Source organism: Homo sapiens, chromosome 4 (genome assembly GCF_000001405.40).
Source record: "Homo sapiens chromosome 4, GRCh38.p14 Primary Assembly".
In the NCBI taxonomy this organism is placed as follows: Eukaryota; Metazoa; Chordata; class Mammalia; order Primates; family Hominidae; genus Homo; species Homo sapiens.
This window is the reverse complement of record NC_000004.12, coordinates 31,468,201-31,486,530: the sequence shown is the minus strand read 5'-3', so window position 1 is coordinate 31,486,530 and position 18,330 is coordinate 31,468,201.

The window sequence follows — 18,330 nt, the reverse complement described above, 5'->3', positions numbered from 1 at the left end:
CCAATTATAGAAGATCTCAGCCCTGACTCTTTGGATTCATCTATCTTTCCAGATGGAGGGTGCCAGCTCTCCCTACTACAAAGTCATGTATTTAATGGATCCAAGAAAAGTTGTTAATTTTCATTTCATTTATACTATTATTTTCACAAGGACAGGATTGATGGTTTCTAAGCCTCCACATGTTGGAGCTGAAATTGGAAATAAATTTTATGGATTTGTATTTAAAATTGAAAACATTAAAATAAATCTTTTCTGCTATAAGGTGTGGACAAATTAAGAACTGCGGTGAAATATTTTGGACTATAAAATTCTAATAATAATATATTCTCAGAAAAAAATTATTTGATATGGTCTGAGTTTTAAAAATGATGGTATTTTTGTGGTAGCTTGGTGAGAGCTCCATGGAAAGTATCTTCATAGCCATTCTGGTCTGCTTTCCATGTAGCACTTAATTATATGCTTTTTTTCATAATGAAATTTTATAATGGATTGTTTGCTGAACATAGCATATATCTGCCCATGGAATTACACCAACAGTGCTTGTATACTCCTTATCCACATGTTGTTTACATATGTTGATGTAAAAAAAATGATTAGTAGTTGTGCTCATAGCTTTTAAATCTTCACAAAAAGACAATACTGAAGTGGCACTATAAAATTACATTTTTCCCAATCTCTAAGAAATTTTATAACTGAATTGTGCCTGAAAAATAAAAAGTTTATGTGTTTATTTACTCAGTATTTATTGAGTAACTTCTGTATGTCAAGACTAGTAAAAATATAAACAGAGGATTTATACAATTTAATATTAGAGAGAATATATCTATGTCACCAAATTCTTGTAAACAAATATACCTCTAGTGGTCGACAGTACAGTGAAATAACTAATTACCATCAAGGGGATATTGTGAGTAATGCTTAACAGAAAAATTATTCTGAAAATAATTTAATATTATCATATATGTAGAGAGAGAGACAGAGTTCAGATAATCATCTAATATTTGGACAAACTGGGACACTTTGGATGGTGAAAAGATTCGTCTTTTAATAATTATTCTGATACAGCAGGCATAACCAGAGAACGTCCTAGTAAATGGGGTTGTTTTGTCATTCTACATATAGTAAACACCATATTTCCTTTCTTAATCTATAATTGGTCATTGTATTAGGATAATGAGAGAAATAGCACCAATAGGAGATATATTCCCATTTAAACAGTTTTTGGTACATATTAAAAACTGAGTAAATGCTTATTCAATAAATAAATAGAGAATAATTACTCCTGTAATCCCAGCATTTTCGAGGCCGAAGCAGGTGGATCACCTGAGCTCAGGAGTTCAAGACCATCCTGGGCAACTTGGTGAAACCCCGTCTCTACTAAAATACAAAAAAATTAGCTGGGTGTGGTGGTGTGTGCCTGTAGTCCCAGCTACTTCGGAGGCTGAGGCACAAGAATCACTTGAGCCTGGGAGGCGGAGGTGGCAGTGAGCTGGGATCATACCACTGCACTCCAGCTTGGGTTCCAGAGTGAGATTCTGTCCCCCCCAAAAAAATCAGTTAAAAAAGGTGTTATTTGTGAATAAGGATTACATATTAATAAATAAAATGTATTGCTACTCTAAATATTTCAGCTAGGTAAATAATTTTAACCACCTCACTAAGGAATCAAGCTGAGTTTCACATCATTTCTTTCTTAAATTCTTTTTTACCCTTAGTAAACAAGCTAATGTGGAGAAAAAATGATGTAAAGTAGGAAATTACGTGGAAAATGGTCTGAATAGTTAACAATTAGAATAACACTCCCAGTAGAGATGTCAATATCACTTGCCTTTCACATTAAAATTTAGATAAACCATAGTCAACTAGCTAGCATATTGCATGGAATACAAGTGTCATCAACTATAAGCTTCAACCTACTTTATGCAAGAGTAGGAAAGAAAAAGTACTGACTAGTATACAATAATGTTTTTATATGATTTTTACATTTTACTTTATTGAAAGAGTTTTTAGTTGTTAAAATTACTGTGATAGTTTCTAAGATTGTGTATCATTTTTATGTATGCACAAAGAAGAAAATAAGAGCAAAATAAATTGGTTAATTTATTCCTAGGTTGTCTTTGTATCCAACAGTAATTTTTCTGAATCTATTTTTTTTTCTTTTTTCTTTTTCCTTTTTTATTTTCCTGCCTCAGCCTCCTGAGTGCTGGGATTACAGGTGCATGCCCAGCTAATTTTTGTATTTTTAGTAGAGATGGGGTTTCACCATGTTGGTCAGGCAGGCTGGTCTCAAACCCCTGATCTTGTGACCTGCCTGCCTTGGCCTCCCAAAGTGCTGGGATTATAGGCATGAGCCATCACGCACGGGCCTCTGCATCTATTTTTGATGGAACATTATCACTAAATTACAACACATAACATTGGTTACTGTGCCATCAAGAGCGTTAGTGATACAGTATTTCTTAAGAGTGCTCTTCTCTTGTCTCCAATATTTTCTTTCGAGCCACCAATAGCTATTCTGTACTTTTTTTTCTTTTTCTTTTTCTTCTTCTTTTTTTTTTTTTTTTTTTTTTTTGAGATGGAGTCTTGCTCTGTCATCCAGGCTGGAGCACAGTGGCGCGAGCTCCACTCAATGCAACCTCCGCCTCCCACATTCCAGTGATTCTCCTGCCTCAGCCTCCTGAGTAGCTAGGACTACAGGCATGAGTCACCACGCCTGGTTAATTTTTGTATTTTTTAGTAGAGACAGGGTTTCACCATGTTGGCCAGGCTGGTCTTGAACTCCTGATCTTGTGATTCACCCGCCTCAGCCTCCCAAAGTGCTGGGATTACAGGCATGAGCCACCACGCTCCGCCTTCTGTACATTTTTAATGCTGGCATATTTATGATCTATTGAAGATATCAATTGAAGCTTCTCATACCAGGGTTCTCATTCCTTTCTCAAACAGACTTAGTTTGTTGACTGACATAATGAGGCTCCAATTTTCCAATTATGTCACCACGTACAACAACCAAGTTATTACGCATGTAGGAAATGGCAAAAAAAAATTCCAAGACAACTACAGCAGTGATTTTTCATCTATTTTAAAACATGTCTCAATTTCAGAGATATTTAAATATTAAATGTTTATGTTGGTGAATGTGTCTACATACATTAATATGTGAGTTATATATGTATATATACATATACGCACACATACTTTTTGTATTTTCCTTTAATGCAATGATATATACAGTAAATGAAGTAAAACACTATAAATCTGTGCAATTATGTTTGTCGTCAATACGAGAAAAGCTCTAATTCACTGTATAGGTATGAATGATTGGTTTCAAAAGTAGGACATCTATTGATTAATTTCAAATTCATGTGCTTATCTAAAAAGCAATATTTAGAGGGGAAAAGTGCCCTTAAAATATTCCTAAAATATATTTAAAAGCATGTCGCATTTTAGATTATCCAGAGGAAAGCTCAGGTATTGTGTTACTTGTTTAGTTATGTACCATAATAAAATTGATTTTAATACAATCTTATTGCAAAGAGAAAAAATATCCCATTTTGCAGCATTGGCTTTCTATTTCCTATCTACTTGGCCACATGAAACTTGGGTGCCTGTAAAGGCAGGATAATAACTAATCCTCTTTGGTGTTTAGCTTCACTTAATCCTTTCTGGTACTTATCCTATTAACATTTTTTTTTCCTCTTGTATTTAAATGCCAGTGCAGAGTACTCAAATTACTTGCATTTATTTCTGTGCTTCTGAATTTCCCAGTTAGAGAAAGTACCTTCAGAAATGTTAGACTAAATATATGCATTTATCTGAGTCTATATTCATTTTCAAGTGCTTATTCTAGTTTAGTGACTTTTAGCTTGGGTATTTTTAAGCTACTAGTTTATGTTTACCATTATTTTCTAACTAAAATTCATCTGCAATGTAATGTAAGCTCTTTAACTGGAGTTTCAAAAATTTTTTATAAAACTTTTGCATATTTTTCAATTTTAGTTAAAATCCCATTTGAGGTACATTAATACTTAAAACATATTACTGGGCATTTATAGTATCAAAGGTTGCAAAACAATAAATCTTATCTTTTGAAGAAATGTAGTAGTCAGACAAGGCTAAATATGCTGCACTAACTAGCAAGAACAAAATCACATTGGTTTGGAAAAATATAAGCTTATTTCTCACTCAATACTCATCTCCGTTACAGGTTGCTAGAATAGTCTGTTGCAGATGGAATTGTACATCCAGATTACCAAGGCAAAAGAAATAGAATGCGGCAAATCATGCCTAGTTTTTTGAACTTTAGTCTTTAAGCATCACATTTTACTCCGTTCTCCTCTCCTCTGGCAAAGCACGTCACGCCACAGCAAATAATTGCAACATGGTTAAGGAAGTAGAGTTATATTATATGCCAGAAAGGGAATAGGGAATATTTGTAATTAGCCAAAAATGACTACTACATTCACATTAATGAAGCTTCCTTTAAAGGAACAGAGTAACAATAATATAAAATCAAAATGTTAAGGCACCAGTATGTTTATCTTTCTTTGGCAAAAAAAGGAAATATAATGTATATACAATGTTGTTAGTTTATATGCAATGAAGAAATGATTACATATGTGTATGTGTTTTGATTGCGACTGTGCATTTTTATGTCATTTAATTTGGTACTTCAACAAACATGTATAAATATCTTTGTTCTCTTCCAGTGTTGTGATTGAGGAAGCTTAGATCAGAAAATTTAAGTAAAGTTTTGTAAGTTACACAACTACTAAGTCAACATGTTAAAAGCTAGTCCTACTGATTTGTGCTTTTCCCATTACAAAATGCTACCTCTTCCAAAAGTACCATTTAATTAGTAAGGAGACATTTGTTTTTGTAGGTATAGACTTTAAAATTATGCTCAGTTTTCTCCTACTTACCTGCCTTCAAGTGAGATTCAAATATAAAGTATCAAAATTTGGGCACTTTCGTATGAAGTAAAAAGTTTGGCAAATCCTCTTCCTGTAGCACAACTATAAAACGGCACAATTATCAACAACAATTTAAGGGCTCTGGCAATGTACAAAAAATATATAACTTATGTCATGTACATACATACATTTATGCATTGCATAATAGGGTTATACTGTGGAAATGCATCATTAGGTGATTTTATCATTGTACAAACATCATAGTGTACCTACATGAACCTAGATGGCACAACCCAGTACACAACTAGGCTATATGGTACAGCCTATTGTTCCTAGGTTACAAACTTGTACAGCATGTGACAGTACTGAATACGGTAGGAAACTATAACACAATGGTAAGTTTTGTGTATTTAAACATATGTAAACATAGGAAAGCTACAGTAAAAATATGGTAGTATAATCTCAGGAAACCACCATCATAAATGTGGTTCATTGTTGACTGAAATGTCATTATGCAGCAGCACATGACTGTATCTTTCTGTATACATTTGCAATCAATGAAGGAATATATATTTTCTTTTCCTGCTGCTTTGGTCTAACTATTCCCTCCAAATGTATATGTTGATATTCTAACCCCAAGGTGATGGCATTAGGAGTCAGAATTTTGGGGAGGTGATGAGAACATGAGGATATAGTCCTCATGAAGTACATTACTGCCCTTATAACAAAATGCCTTGCAGAAGGCCCCTGGCATCTTTCAGCATCTGAAGACACAGCAAGAAAACACTATCTATGAGGAAGATGGCCCTCACCAGACACTGAATCTACCGTCATCTTGATCTCGGACTTTCCAGCTTCCAGAAATGTAAGAAGTAAGTTTATGTTGTTTGTAAGCTACTCATTTTATGGTATTTTGCTATAGCAGCCTAAATGAACTAAGATACTAGCATTGAGAATTTACTGACATTCTATTTGTTGATTTAAGGTGTGCCACTGTTGTTATTTATAAATTATTTTAAACATGCATGAATTTTGCTTTGCTCTGTGACTTTATTTTCCATGACCATACCAAGAGTGAATAATAGGATTTTTTCTGAAGAGTTTAGGGTAACCCAAAAGCTTTTGGTGCTAAATTCACTGGATAATATTTCATGGCAGTCTTTCATTTTATTTTACTACAGGGTTAAAAATTGGTGTCTTCATTATTTTCCCCAACATAGCAGATGTATTACTCAAATTTTTTCCAAGATGTTTAATATCATAAATTCCAAAACAAGAAATAATCTTAAACCACTGTTCTTATTTTCATTTAGTCTCATATTAAAAATCAAGTTCCCAACCAGGTTTTGACCCAGGTTGGTTGTCTAGACCTTACTCAAGCTCTGTCCTTAACATCCACTTTTTTGTTTTCCAACAGCATTCAAAGAGATTTTCATATAAGGTCACTTCTAGGTACCAAATGGCACAGTTTCTTTGCAATCTGACACTTGTGTAGTTTATATTTTTCATTTTGTTAAGTCTTAATCAAAAGAAGTTTGCACATATATATTGTGATAAGGATTTAATTCAAGAAAAAGAGATATTTTTTTAAATGGCCAAACTCCCTTTTCAGGCCAAAGAGTTATTTGCAGAATTTTTTCACATATCAATAACATGATAGAATTGAATGCATATGCATTTGCTTCTTGTACTCATAAAAAAAATCTATCACTCATAAGTAATGTCACAGATATTTTATACTCGAGTACCTCTTAAATTCATAGGTCTATGAACAAATTATATTGGTAGAATATAAAGTATGAAGGACATTTTGGCATAACCTTATGTTTTGAGTAAAAACGTTCTAACTAGTATTCAAGGTTTTAAGGCAATGTGTAATTGAAATCTTAAGTATAACCATGTGCTTTATCCTAAGTGAAAACATTAATATTGGATATTTGGTAGATGAAAAATCTGGCTTAATGTTAAGTTTATATTAGTCTGAAGAGAAAAATAAAGTGAGGGAAAAAAGTGTATGTAGTTTTCATAATGTAGTCTACTTCTGTAAAATGATAAGTGGACCAAATAATTTTGAAGGATACCTACATCAAAAAAAATGCTCACCTTTTTGGTAGTATTTTCCAGATTTAATTCCTACATACACAATTTACTCTAATATTTCAATGATCTACAATCTCTCCATAAAGCCCAACAGTTCCATCCAATTAAGAATTATACCTATAGAGAAGCCATAATTATGTGTGAAACTGTATTTTAAAATATTTTCTGTAGAAGGCTTATGATATTACAAATATTTATTATAAATAATGGCTATCAGAAGGTGAAAGCTTTTAAAACCACACTTTTCTAATTATTTTCCTGCCATGGTTTATGAATTTTGTGAAAGTAGAAAATATGATAAAACTTCTGGACCTGTGGTATGTAGGGGGTTCTCCAAGACAAAGTAGGATCAAGAGTGCAGAAAGTGAATTTGGGTTTATCCAAATAGACAAAAGAGAAATCAGACTATCTCTTTTTGCTGATGATATGATTCTATACTTAGAAAATCCTAAATACTCTGCCAAAAGATAACTAGAACTAATACAAAATTTTATCAAGGGTTAAGGATACAAAATCAATGTGTGAACATCAGTGGGATGTCTATACACCAACAATGTCCAGGCTGAGAGTCAAAGTAAGAACAGAATTCCATTTACAATAGCCACAAAGAATATAAAATATCTTGAAATACAGATAATTAAAGAGGTGAAAGATCTCTCTAAGGAGAACTAGAACACACACTGAAAGATATCAGAAATGACACAACTAAATGAAAAGACATCCCATGTTCATGGATTGAAAGAATCAATGTGATTTAAATGGCCATAATGCCCAAAGTGATTTACAGACTCAGTGATATTCCTGTTAAATCACCAATGTCATTCTTCACGGAATTAGAAAAAAAAACCATTCTAATATTCATATTGAACCAAAATATCCGAAATAAACAAAACAAACCTAAGAAAAAAGAAAAAAGCCTGAGGCATCACACTACCCAACTTCAAACTATACTCTAAGGCTATTGTAACCAAAACAGCACAGTAATGGTACAAAAACAGATACATTGATCAATGGTACAAAATAGAAAACTCAGAAATAAAGCCTCACACTTAAAACTGTCTAATCTTTGATAAGGCTGACAAAAAAAGCAATGGGGAAATGATTCCCTATTCAGTACATGGTGCTGAGAAAACTACTTGCCAAATGTAGAAGAATGAAAGTGGACTCTTACATTTCACCATATGCAAAAACTAATTCCAGATAGATTTATAGATATAAATAAAGAGTAAACCTCAAACTATAAAAATCATAAAAGAAAACCTAGGAAAGACCCCTCTTGACATCAGCCATGGCAAATAATTTTTGACTACACTCCCAAAAACAATTGCAATAAAAACAAAAAAATTGACAAGTGGGACACAATTAAACAAAAGAGCTCTGTATAACAAAAGAAACTGTCAATAGAGTAAACAATCTACAGAATGGAAAAAAAAATATTCACAAACTGTGCATCTGACAAAAGTCTAATATCCAGAATCTATAAGAAACTTAATAAGCAAAAAACAAACAATTCCATTTAAAATAAGCCAAAGACATGTATTAGTCCATTTTCACACTGCTGATAAAGATATACCCGAGACTGGGAAATTTACAAAAGAAAGAGGTTTAATGTACTTACAGCTCCATATGCCTGGGAGGCCTCACAATCATGGCAGAAGGCAAGGAGGAGCAAGTCAAATCTTACTCAGATGTTGGCAGGCAAACAGAGAGCTTGTGCAGAGAAACTCCCATTTTTAAAACCATCAGATCTTGTAAGACTTATTCACTATCACAAGAACAGTGCAGGAAAGACCAGTTACCTCCCACAACATGTGAGATTTATGGGAGCTACAAGATGAGGTTTGTGTGGGGACACAGAGCCAAACCATATCATTTATCATTCCTCTCCTGACCCCTCCTAAATCTCATATCTTCACATTTCAAAACCAATCATGCCTTCCCAACAGTCCCCCAAAGTCTAAATTCATTTCAGCATTAACTCAAATGTCCACAGGTCAAAGTCTCATGCAAGACAAGGCAAGTTCCTTCCACCTATGAGCCTGCAACATCAAAAGCAAGTTAGTTACTTCCTAGATAAAATGGGGGTACAGGCATTGGGTAAATACAGCCATTCAAAATGGGAGAAATTGGGCAAAACAAACGGGCTAGTGGCCCCATATAAGTTCTAAATCTAGAGGAGAAGTCAATCTTAGAGCTCCAAAATGATCTCCTTTGACTCCATGGCTCACATGCAGGTCATGCTGATACAAGAGGTGGGTTCCCATGGTCTTGGGCAGCTCTGCCCCTGTGGGTTTGCAGGGTACAGCCTCCCTCCTAGCTGCCTTCACAGGCTGGCGTTGAGTGTCTGCAGCCTTTCCAGGTGCATGATGCAAGCTATCAGTGGATCTACCATTCTGGGGTCTGCAGAACGGTGGCCCTCTTCTCACAGATCCACTAGGCAATGCCCAAGTCGGGGACTCCAACCCCATATTTCCCTTCTTCACTGCTCTAGCAGAGGTTCTGCATGAGGACCTTACCCCTACACAAACTTCTGCGTAGGTATCTAGGCATTTCCATACATGTATGTTCCATACATCTGAAATGTAGGCAGAGGTTACCCCAGTGCTTGACTTCTGTGCACTCACAGGCTCAACACCACATGGATGTTGGCAAGGCTTGTGGCTTGCACCTTCTGAAGCCATGGCCTGAGCTCTATGTTGGCACCTATCAGCCATGGTTGGAGTGGCTGGGAGACAGAGCATAAAAGTTTGAAACATTTGCAGCCTGACAATGCAATAGAAAATAAAATTCCATTTTCTGAAGAGAAATTCAAGCCAGCTGAAGAAATTTGCATAAGTAACAAGGAGCCAAATGCTAATCCCCAAGACAATGGGGGAAATGTCACCAGAACATATCAGAGACCTTTGCAGCATCCCCTCCCATGACAGGCCTGTAGGTCTAGGAGGGAAAAGTGGTTTCATGGGCCAGGTCCAGGATCCCCATGCTGTGTGCAGCCAAGGGACTTGGTGACCCATGTCCCAGCCACTCCAACCATGACTTTTTAATGAAGTCATTCTAACTAGTATTTCATTATGGTTTTGATTTGCATTTCTTTGATGATTAGTGATGCTGAGTAGTTTTTAATACATTTGTTTTCCACTTGAATGTCTTATTTTGAGAAGTATCTGTTTATGTCCTGATATGGTTTGGCTCTGTGTCTCCACCCAAATCTCATCTTGTAGCTCCCATAATTCCCATGTGTTGTAAGACAGACCCCGTGGGAGATGAATGAATCACAGAGGCAGGTCTTTCCCATGCTGTTCTCATGATAGTGATTACGTCTCACAAGATCTGATGATGTTAAAAATGGGAGTTTCCCTGCACAAGCTCTCCTTTCTGCCTGCTGCCATCCCTGTAAGATGTGACTTGCTCCTTCATGTCTTCTGCCATGATTATGAGGCCTCCTCAGCCATGTGGAACTGGAACTCCAATAAATCCCTTTTTCCTGTGTAAATTGCCCAGTCCCAGGTATGTCATTATCAGCAGTGTGAAAATCAACTAATACAGTAAATTGGTACCAGCAGAGTGGGGTGCTGCTGAAAAGATACTTGAAAATGTGGAAGTGACTTGTAACTGGGTAACAGACAGAGGTTGGAACAGTTTGGAGGGCTCAGAAGAAGACAGGAAAATATGGGAAAGTTTGGAACTTCCTTAGAGACTTGTTGAATGGTTTTGACAAAAACGCTGATAGTGATATGAATAATAAGCCCCAGGTCGAAGTAGTCTCAGATGGAGATGAGAAACTTGCTGGAAACTGGAGCAAAGATGATTCTTGTTATGTTTTAACAAAGATGCCCCTACCCTAGAGATTTATGGAAATTTGAAGTTGATAAAGATGATTTAGGGTAACTGGTGAAGAAATTTAAAAGCAGAAAAGCATTCAAGAGGTGACTTGGGTGCTGCTAAAGCATTCAGTTTCAAAAGGGAGACAGAGCATAAAAGTTTGAAACATTTGCAGCCTGACAATGCAATAGAAAATAAAATTCCATTTTCTGAGGAGAAATTCAAGCCAGCTGAAGAAATTTGCATAATGCTAATCTCCAAATGCTAATCCCCAAGACAATGGGGAAAATGTCTCCAGGGCATATCAGAGACCTTGGAACACTACACAGCCTTAAAAAAAAAAATGAAGTCATGTCCTTTGCAGCAACATGGATGGAACTGCAGGTCATAATCCTGGGTGAATTAATGCAGGAACAGAAAAATAAATATCACATATTCTCATTTATAAGTGAGAGCTCAACATTGAGCATGCACAGACATAAACATGGGAACAATAGACACTGAGGACTCCAAAAGAGGGACCTAGGAAATGGGAATGGGTCAAAAAACTACCTGTTGTGTACTATGCTCACTACCTGAGTGCAATATACTCATGTAACAAACCTGTACAAATACCCCCATCTAAAATAAAAGTTTGAAAAAGAAAAAGAGTGAACAAAGAAAATGTTGGTTTTAAAGAGGGCTACCACGTGGTCAATAAATGTTAAGAACTTAGCCATAAGCTAGGAGAAAGTAAAGCCAAATAAATCTAACTAAAAAGAAAAACTATAGTTTTGCATGTTGGGCTCGGCAATTTGATAGTTACCTCCTTCGAATTTTCTGATTTTAGGACACTCTTAAGTAATGGAACCAATGGCCTCACATATTTGTTCAGATTAATTATGCCAAATAATATACCCTAGAGCTCAGCACTAGCACGAAATATGTACTGGCTAGAACACGTGACTTGTTTTGTTAATGGGTTGATTTTTTCTATGGTAATAGCCACTCCCCTACTAAATGTACAAGATTAACATGGGAGCTTTCACGTAACACAACATTATCTCACCCAATGCCTACAGTTGATTTGTTCTGGTACAAACACCTGGGTCAACCTAGACAAAGAAAAATTTTTCTGTGGATTTTTAGACTCCAAAAAGAGCTACAACATTCTCTTTACTAACATTTAAATTGTAAGATGTAATATTCTGCAGCTGTTAGCAACTATATTTTATGACATGTGAAAAAGCATAAACCAACCTCCACAGAGAATAAAAACAAGAAACAGGGAAAGATTTGCATTCTTTGCTCCATCCCTGACTTCTAGAAGTCTGTAAAACTCTTCCTTGCGTTTCCAGAGATGCCCTAGTTTCATTCACATAAAGCTCAAGTTCCTTTTTCCTTGGGTTGTTTCCCTTTGAACTTTTGTAAAGTTCAACCCAAATTTTCTCAGCTCATGGATGAGTTATTTATGGGTAGAGTACATACAACTATGGGTTTGCAATTTTTTTCCCTTAACTTATTTTTTTTTCCTAACTCATAAATAAAAGAACTAAAATTATCTCCTTAATATGTCTTTCCATAGGGAAATCAGGGCAACAAAGTGTGAGACAAAAGGAGAGGCTTCTTTTTTTTTTATTATACTTTAAGTTTTAGGGTACATGTGCACAATGTGCAGGTTAGTTACATATGTATACATGTGAAAACAAAACAATAGTTATAGAAATACTTAAAATTATCCTTGTATCATAACCATTACTGACGAACATCTTTAGTAGTTCTCATCTCATGTCTCTACATGAGCTTGCCTATCTTTAATCTGAGAGGATGAATGAGAGAAAATGGGCAATGAAAAAGAAATTCAAGTCATAATTAATATAATTGGAAGTTTAGGATATTAGGAAGTGCTATTTCTACCTGGTAGCTACATATAAGCTAAGGAGGACATCAGTCAGTACTCTAAAATCAATAGTCACTACTTCTGGGATCCAAAACGTTATCTAACCAGGAACTGCAGTAATGAAGCCTGGTCATACATACTGTGTGTTCCAAACGTGCTTCACATTTAAAGTGAAGACTCTAATAATGTATTTCTATTAAGCTGTTGACTACATTATAGAATATAATATTCACAAGACAAATAATATTTTGTCTTGTGACAAAATAAAATTTATTTTTTCTAGGCTTCCTTAGAGGTAGCTCGCATGTGATCTTGAATACATAGGCTTAGTCTACACGGACTGCCCATTAGACTACATCTTTCACTGCCCATAAAGATACAAAGATGTCTCAACACTGTCATTAAAACCGGATATTAAGAAACGTATTACTGATGTTTGGGACAAGAAATGTATCCTCTCAAAAGATGTTGATGCTATTACCAGTGCCTCTCTCTAATCTTAAAACAGTTGTTACCTAATCTAATATTCCTGCCACATCTGATTGTAACTAGACATGTAGATCTTACAGACAATGAAGTTGCACCCAGTATAGTGAGTGGTTATATTTCCCAAATTTGAAGTCTCACTCAGTGTGAGGTTGAAACTCAGCTCTCTCTAGCTGCTTGACTTTGAGCAAGTCATACACCCTGTGTGTTCATAGGTGTTTCATATTTAAATTAAAGACTTTAATAATGTGTTTCTATTGAGCTGTTGATGACATTAGAGCATGCAATGCAATGTAGCATACAGTGGACTAAGCCATGCTGTGTTCCAAACAGAAGTGAGAATAGTATATTATATTTTCTACAGCTTCACAGTTACTAGTTTGTGAAACTATTTGTCCATTTTAACATGCCTTCATTTGCTTATATACTTATATGTTTATTGAAACAGGTATCCATGGACGTAGAACACTGTTGAGTGAGTGACAGACACCATGTTTTGTTTTATTAAGAACTGATTTTGCATGTATATTATAAGCCATTATATTTTGACTATGTCTCTCTCCCATTAGGGGATTGCATTCTTTGTCCTTCTGGTAAAAAGCCTCCTGGATACTGTTTCACCTTATAAAACACTCATTATCATCACAACCACTATCAGACCCACCTTCCCCTTCACACATACACACATCTGACATCTCTATCCCAATCAAACAACCATTTACCAGATGTTCCCCTAAGACATCTAAATCTATATGAAAGCATCATTTTAGTTCAAGCTAGGACACGTACATATAAGCACACATGCAATTATATGCATACAAATTATGTGCTAAAATCCTGAATGGCCTCATCTCCTACCACAAACAAACAAAAATATTATCTATGGCAAAGAAAGGCAATATCACATCATCTCACATTTGGGAAAGATCTGTCAGGATCAGGAAATGCAATTAAGTAATTTCATAAGTGCTGATAGCATTCCACTCAATATACCCTTAGAACATCTTAACAATGAAATTAACACTCTTAAAATCCCTAAATTATTTTTTGTCCTAAATGGCTTGTTATCTTGGAACATTTATCAGGCTGCAGATTACAAATGGGATGCATCTAAAAATTCCACAGACAAGTAAATTGAAACCTCTTGTTTGAAACAGTAACTACTGCCTTTGCCTAGCAATGATGATTTGGTATTCTACACTTCGAAGAAGTTTTATGTAATACAAATGTATATATACTTTAGCAGGAAGCTGGAATTGATAGGAAATTTCTGTGGTCCAAGAATCCATGAGTTAGTTCCATGATTTATCACTGGGACTAACTGGAGGAGCTGGAGTAACCTTTCCCAAAGGAAGAACATGAACTATGAAGAAAGACAAAGAAGGTAGTACGTAAGGTGATTGTATGCCCCAACTTAATAGTCATATCCTGCCCAAGTTGAGCTAAACCTCAATTCTACCACTAACAAGCTGTTCACTGTTGACAAGTCACAAAACAGCTCTAATCCTTAAGAATTTCATAGGTAAAATGGATATTATAACGGTTGAAATTCTTGTGTTTTTTATGTAGTTGCTGTAGGTTTTAGGGGATAAATTGGGCATGGTGATCCAACATAGTACCAGCATGGTAAGCTATGACACAGTGTCAAATGAAGAAAGAGGACTTTTCAGAGAATTTTTTAGCATTGTGGGACAGTAATGTGAATGCAGTTAAGTTTGAATATATCAGATGATCCTATATTTAGCAACTTTAAACTCATTTTCTTCCAGATATCTACATTCTTTCATTTCCTATTTGTTTCCGGATAAAGCATCTATCAATAAACCACTTTTTGATTAGAGTTTTGTAGACAGGATCCATTAAATCCCTCAACAAATTTGCAGCCACTGTCCAGAGTGAAGTGCTTTGCACACTGGATAAGAGGCTGAGTACACTGCGTTGCATTGAAATAGCCAGAAATCCTGTCCTTGTGGAGCTTTCAGACTAATGGGGAAATTATTTTTCAAATAATTACCCAAGCAATCATCCAATGATATAAGTGCTATGAGAAGAAACATACAGGGTATCATGGCAAGATATAATAAGAAGACTTAATTTAAATTAGGAGGTTACAAAAGGCTTTTCTTTTTTAATTTGTTTAAATTAAAAATGTACAAGTGCAATTTTGTTACACGAATATATTGTATTGTGGTAAAGTCTTAGCCTTTAGTGTATCCATCACCTGAATAATGTATATTGTACCCATTAAGTATTTTCTCACCCACTATCCTTCCACTCTCACCCTTCTGAGTCTTCAGTGTCTATAATTCCACGCTCTATGTCCTTGTGTACACATTATTTAGCTCCCATTTATACGGTAGAGCATGCAGTATTTGACTTTCTGTTTCTGAGTTGTTTCAATTAAGATAACGGCCTCCAGTTCCATCCATGTTGCTGCAAAAGACATGATTTTACCTTTTTATGGCTAAATATTGTTCCATTGTGGGTGTGTGTGTGTGTGTGTGTGTGTGTGTGTGTATATATACACATTGTATATGTATATATACACATTGTATATGTATATATACAATGAAAGACATATATATATAGTGTGTGTGTATATATATATATACTGCATGTTCTACCTTATAAATGGGAACTATATATATATATATATACACATACACACACACTATATATATGTCTCTCATTGTAATATATATTTATATTATATATTGTATGTTATGTAATATATATTATATGAGAGATATACATTATAGGATGTACATCATATTTTATATATAATATTAAATATAATTATGTGTATCATATTATATATGGTATATATGTCATATAATCTATACAATATATAATGATATATATATCATATCTCTTTGATGTATGTCTCATATATTGTCTCATATAATATATATAATATATATATATCATATAATATATATCTCTCTCTCTTTGTAATCCAGTCATCCAACAATGGACACTTAGGTTGATTTCACATCTTTCCTATTGTGAGTAGTGCTGTGATAAACATACAATTGTGGATGTCTTTTTGATATAATGATTTGTTTTCCTTTGAATAGATACCCAGTAGAAGGATTGCTGAATTGAATGGTAGATCTATTTTTAGTTCTTTGAGAAATTTCCATGTTTTCCATAGAGGTTGTATTAATTTACATTTCCACCAACAGTGTATGAGCATTTCCTTTTCCCTGCATCCTCACCAACATTTGTTATTTTTTTACTTTTTAATAATGATAATTCTGACTCATGTAAGATGGTATCTCTTGATGGTTTTATTTTGCATTTATCTGATTACCAATGATGTTAGCATTTTTTTATGTGCTTGTCGTTCATTAGTATGCCTTCTTTTGAAAAATAGAATAGAATGAGAATCCAGAAATAAAGTCAGGTATCTATACCCAAGTGATCTTTGACAAAGTTGACAAAATACACTAGGAAAATGATACCTTCTTCAGCAAATGGTACTGGGAAAAAAATGTATTGCAATATGCAAAAGAATTGGATGCCTATACCTTATGACATACAAAAATCAACTCAGTATGAATTAAATGCCTACATGTAAGACATGAAACTACAAAAATACTAGAAGAAAACCAAGGGAACAACTCTTCTAGATATTTGTCTAGGCAAAGAATTAATGACTAAGACCTCAAAAGCACCAACATCAAAAGCAAAAATAGCCAAATGAGACTTAAACAATAAAAGCTTCTGTACAGCAAAAGAAATAATCAACAGAGTGAACAGACAACCTGAAGAATAGGGCAACATATTAGCAAACTATGCATCCAACAAGAGACTGATATGCAGAATTTATAAGTCAAACAACTCAACAAAGAGGCACAAATAACCTCATTAAAAAGTAGACAAAGGAAAGGATTTTTATATGACCGATGAAATTAAAAAATGATTTGTATTTTCTAAAGAATTAAAAAATAATCAAAAGAAAACTAATATTTCATGATACATTGAAAGTATCAAAATATATATTTCAGTGTTCAAAAATAAAATGTTATTGTGACACAGTCATGCTCATTTATTCACATAGTGTTTATGGCCACTTTCATGCTACATGAATAGACTTGAGCAGTTACATCAAAGACTGCACGGCCCACAAAGCCTAATATATTTACCATATGACCCTTCACAGAAAATATTTGCTGATTCCTGATTTAGAACTTTACAAGCCCCCTTAAGAATATTTTTTTTCTGTAAGTTAAATGAGATGCTGTTGCATAATACTATTTAAATATTTTAAAGTTACTATTAGGATTGACTAGATTTATATTTTCAAGATCTCACTGGCTGATATGCTTTTTTTTCAGGTTTATTTTCACCTTAATATGAAAAAGTTAAGGATTCAAAATCACATATTTTGAAAAAGCTTGGAAGCAGGTATTTGGACCATGCTATGCACTGAATGTTTGCACATCACAAAAATCCATATATTGAATTTATAACCCCCAAATGATTACTATGCATATTACTCCTGTGATGGTATTAGGAGAAAGGGTCTTTGGGAGGTACTTAGATTATGAGAAAGCCCTTGTGAATGGGATTAGTGCCCTTATAAGAAGAGACAGGAGAGCATGTTCTCTTTCTCTCTCTGCTCTTATACCTATGAAGACTCAAAAATAAGAGCGTTATCTATGAATCAGAAAGTGAGAACTTACCAGATATTATTTCAACCTACGACTTGATCTTGGATATCCCAGCCTCCAGAAGTGTGAGAAATAAATTTCTGCTTTTTTTAAGGATCCCAAATTTCTGTTTTTTAAGATCTGTTAAAGCAACCTGAACTGACAAGGACAGGCCAAGTAATAAAACCCAAGCAACCTCACTACTGCTCAATTAAACCATCACCTTTGAGCACATACCATACCCAGAGACTGTGCTAAGTGCTAGATAAGCAAAAAATGAATTATATATAGTTCTTGCCCTCAACTTACTTATAGTCTACTCAATATCAAGTATTAGCCTGCTGGCAGATTTAGGTATTTGGTTGTTTTAACTCTTTCTCCCTATCCTCTTGTAGAGACTAAATAAAAGAAAGCATAGCATACAACTCAGGAAAGGCTCTGACTCCTAGGATTTAAATAAGTATTTATTAACAAT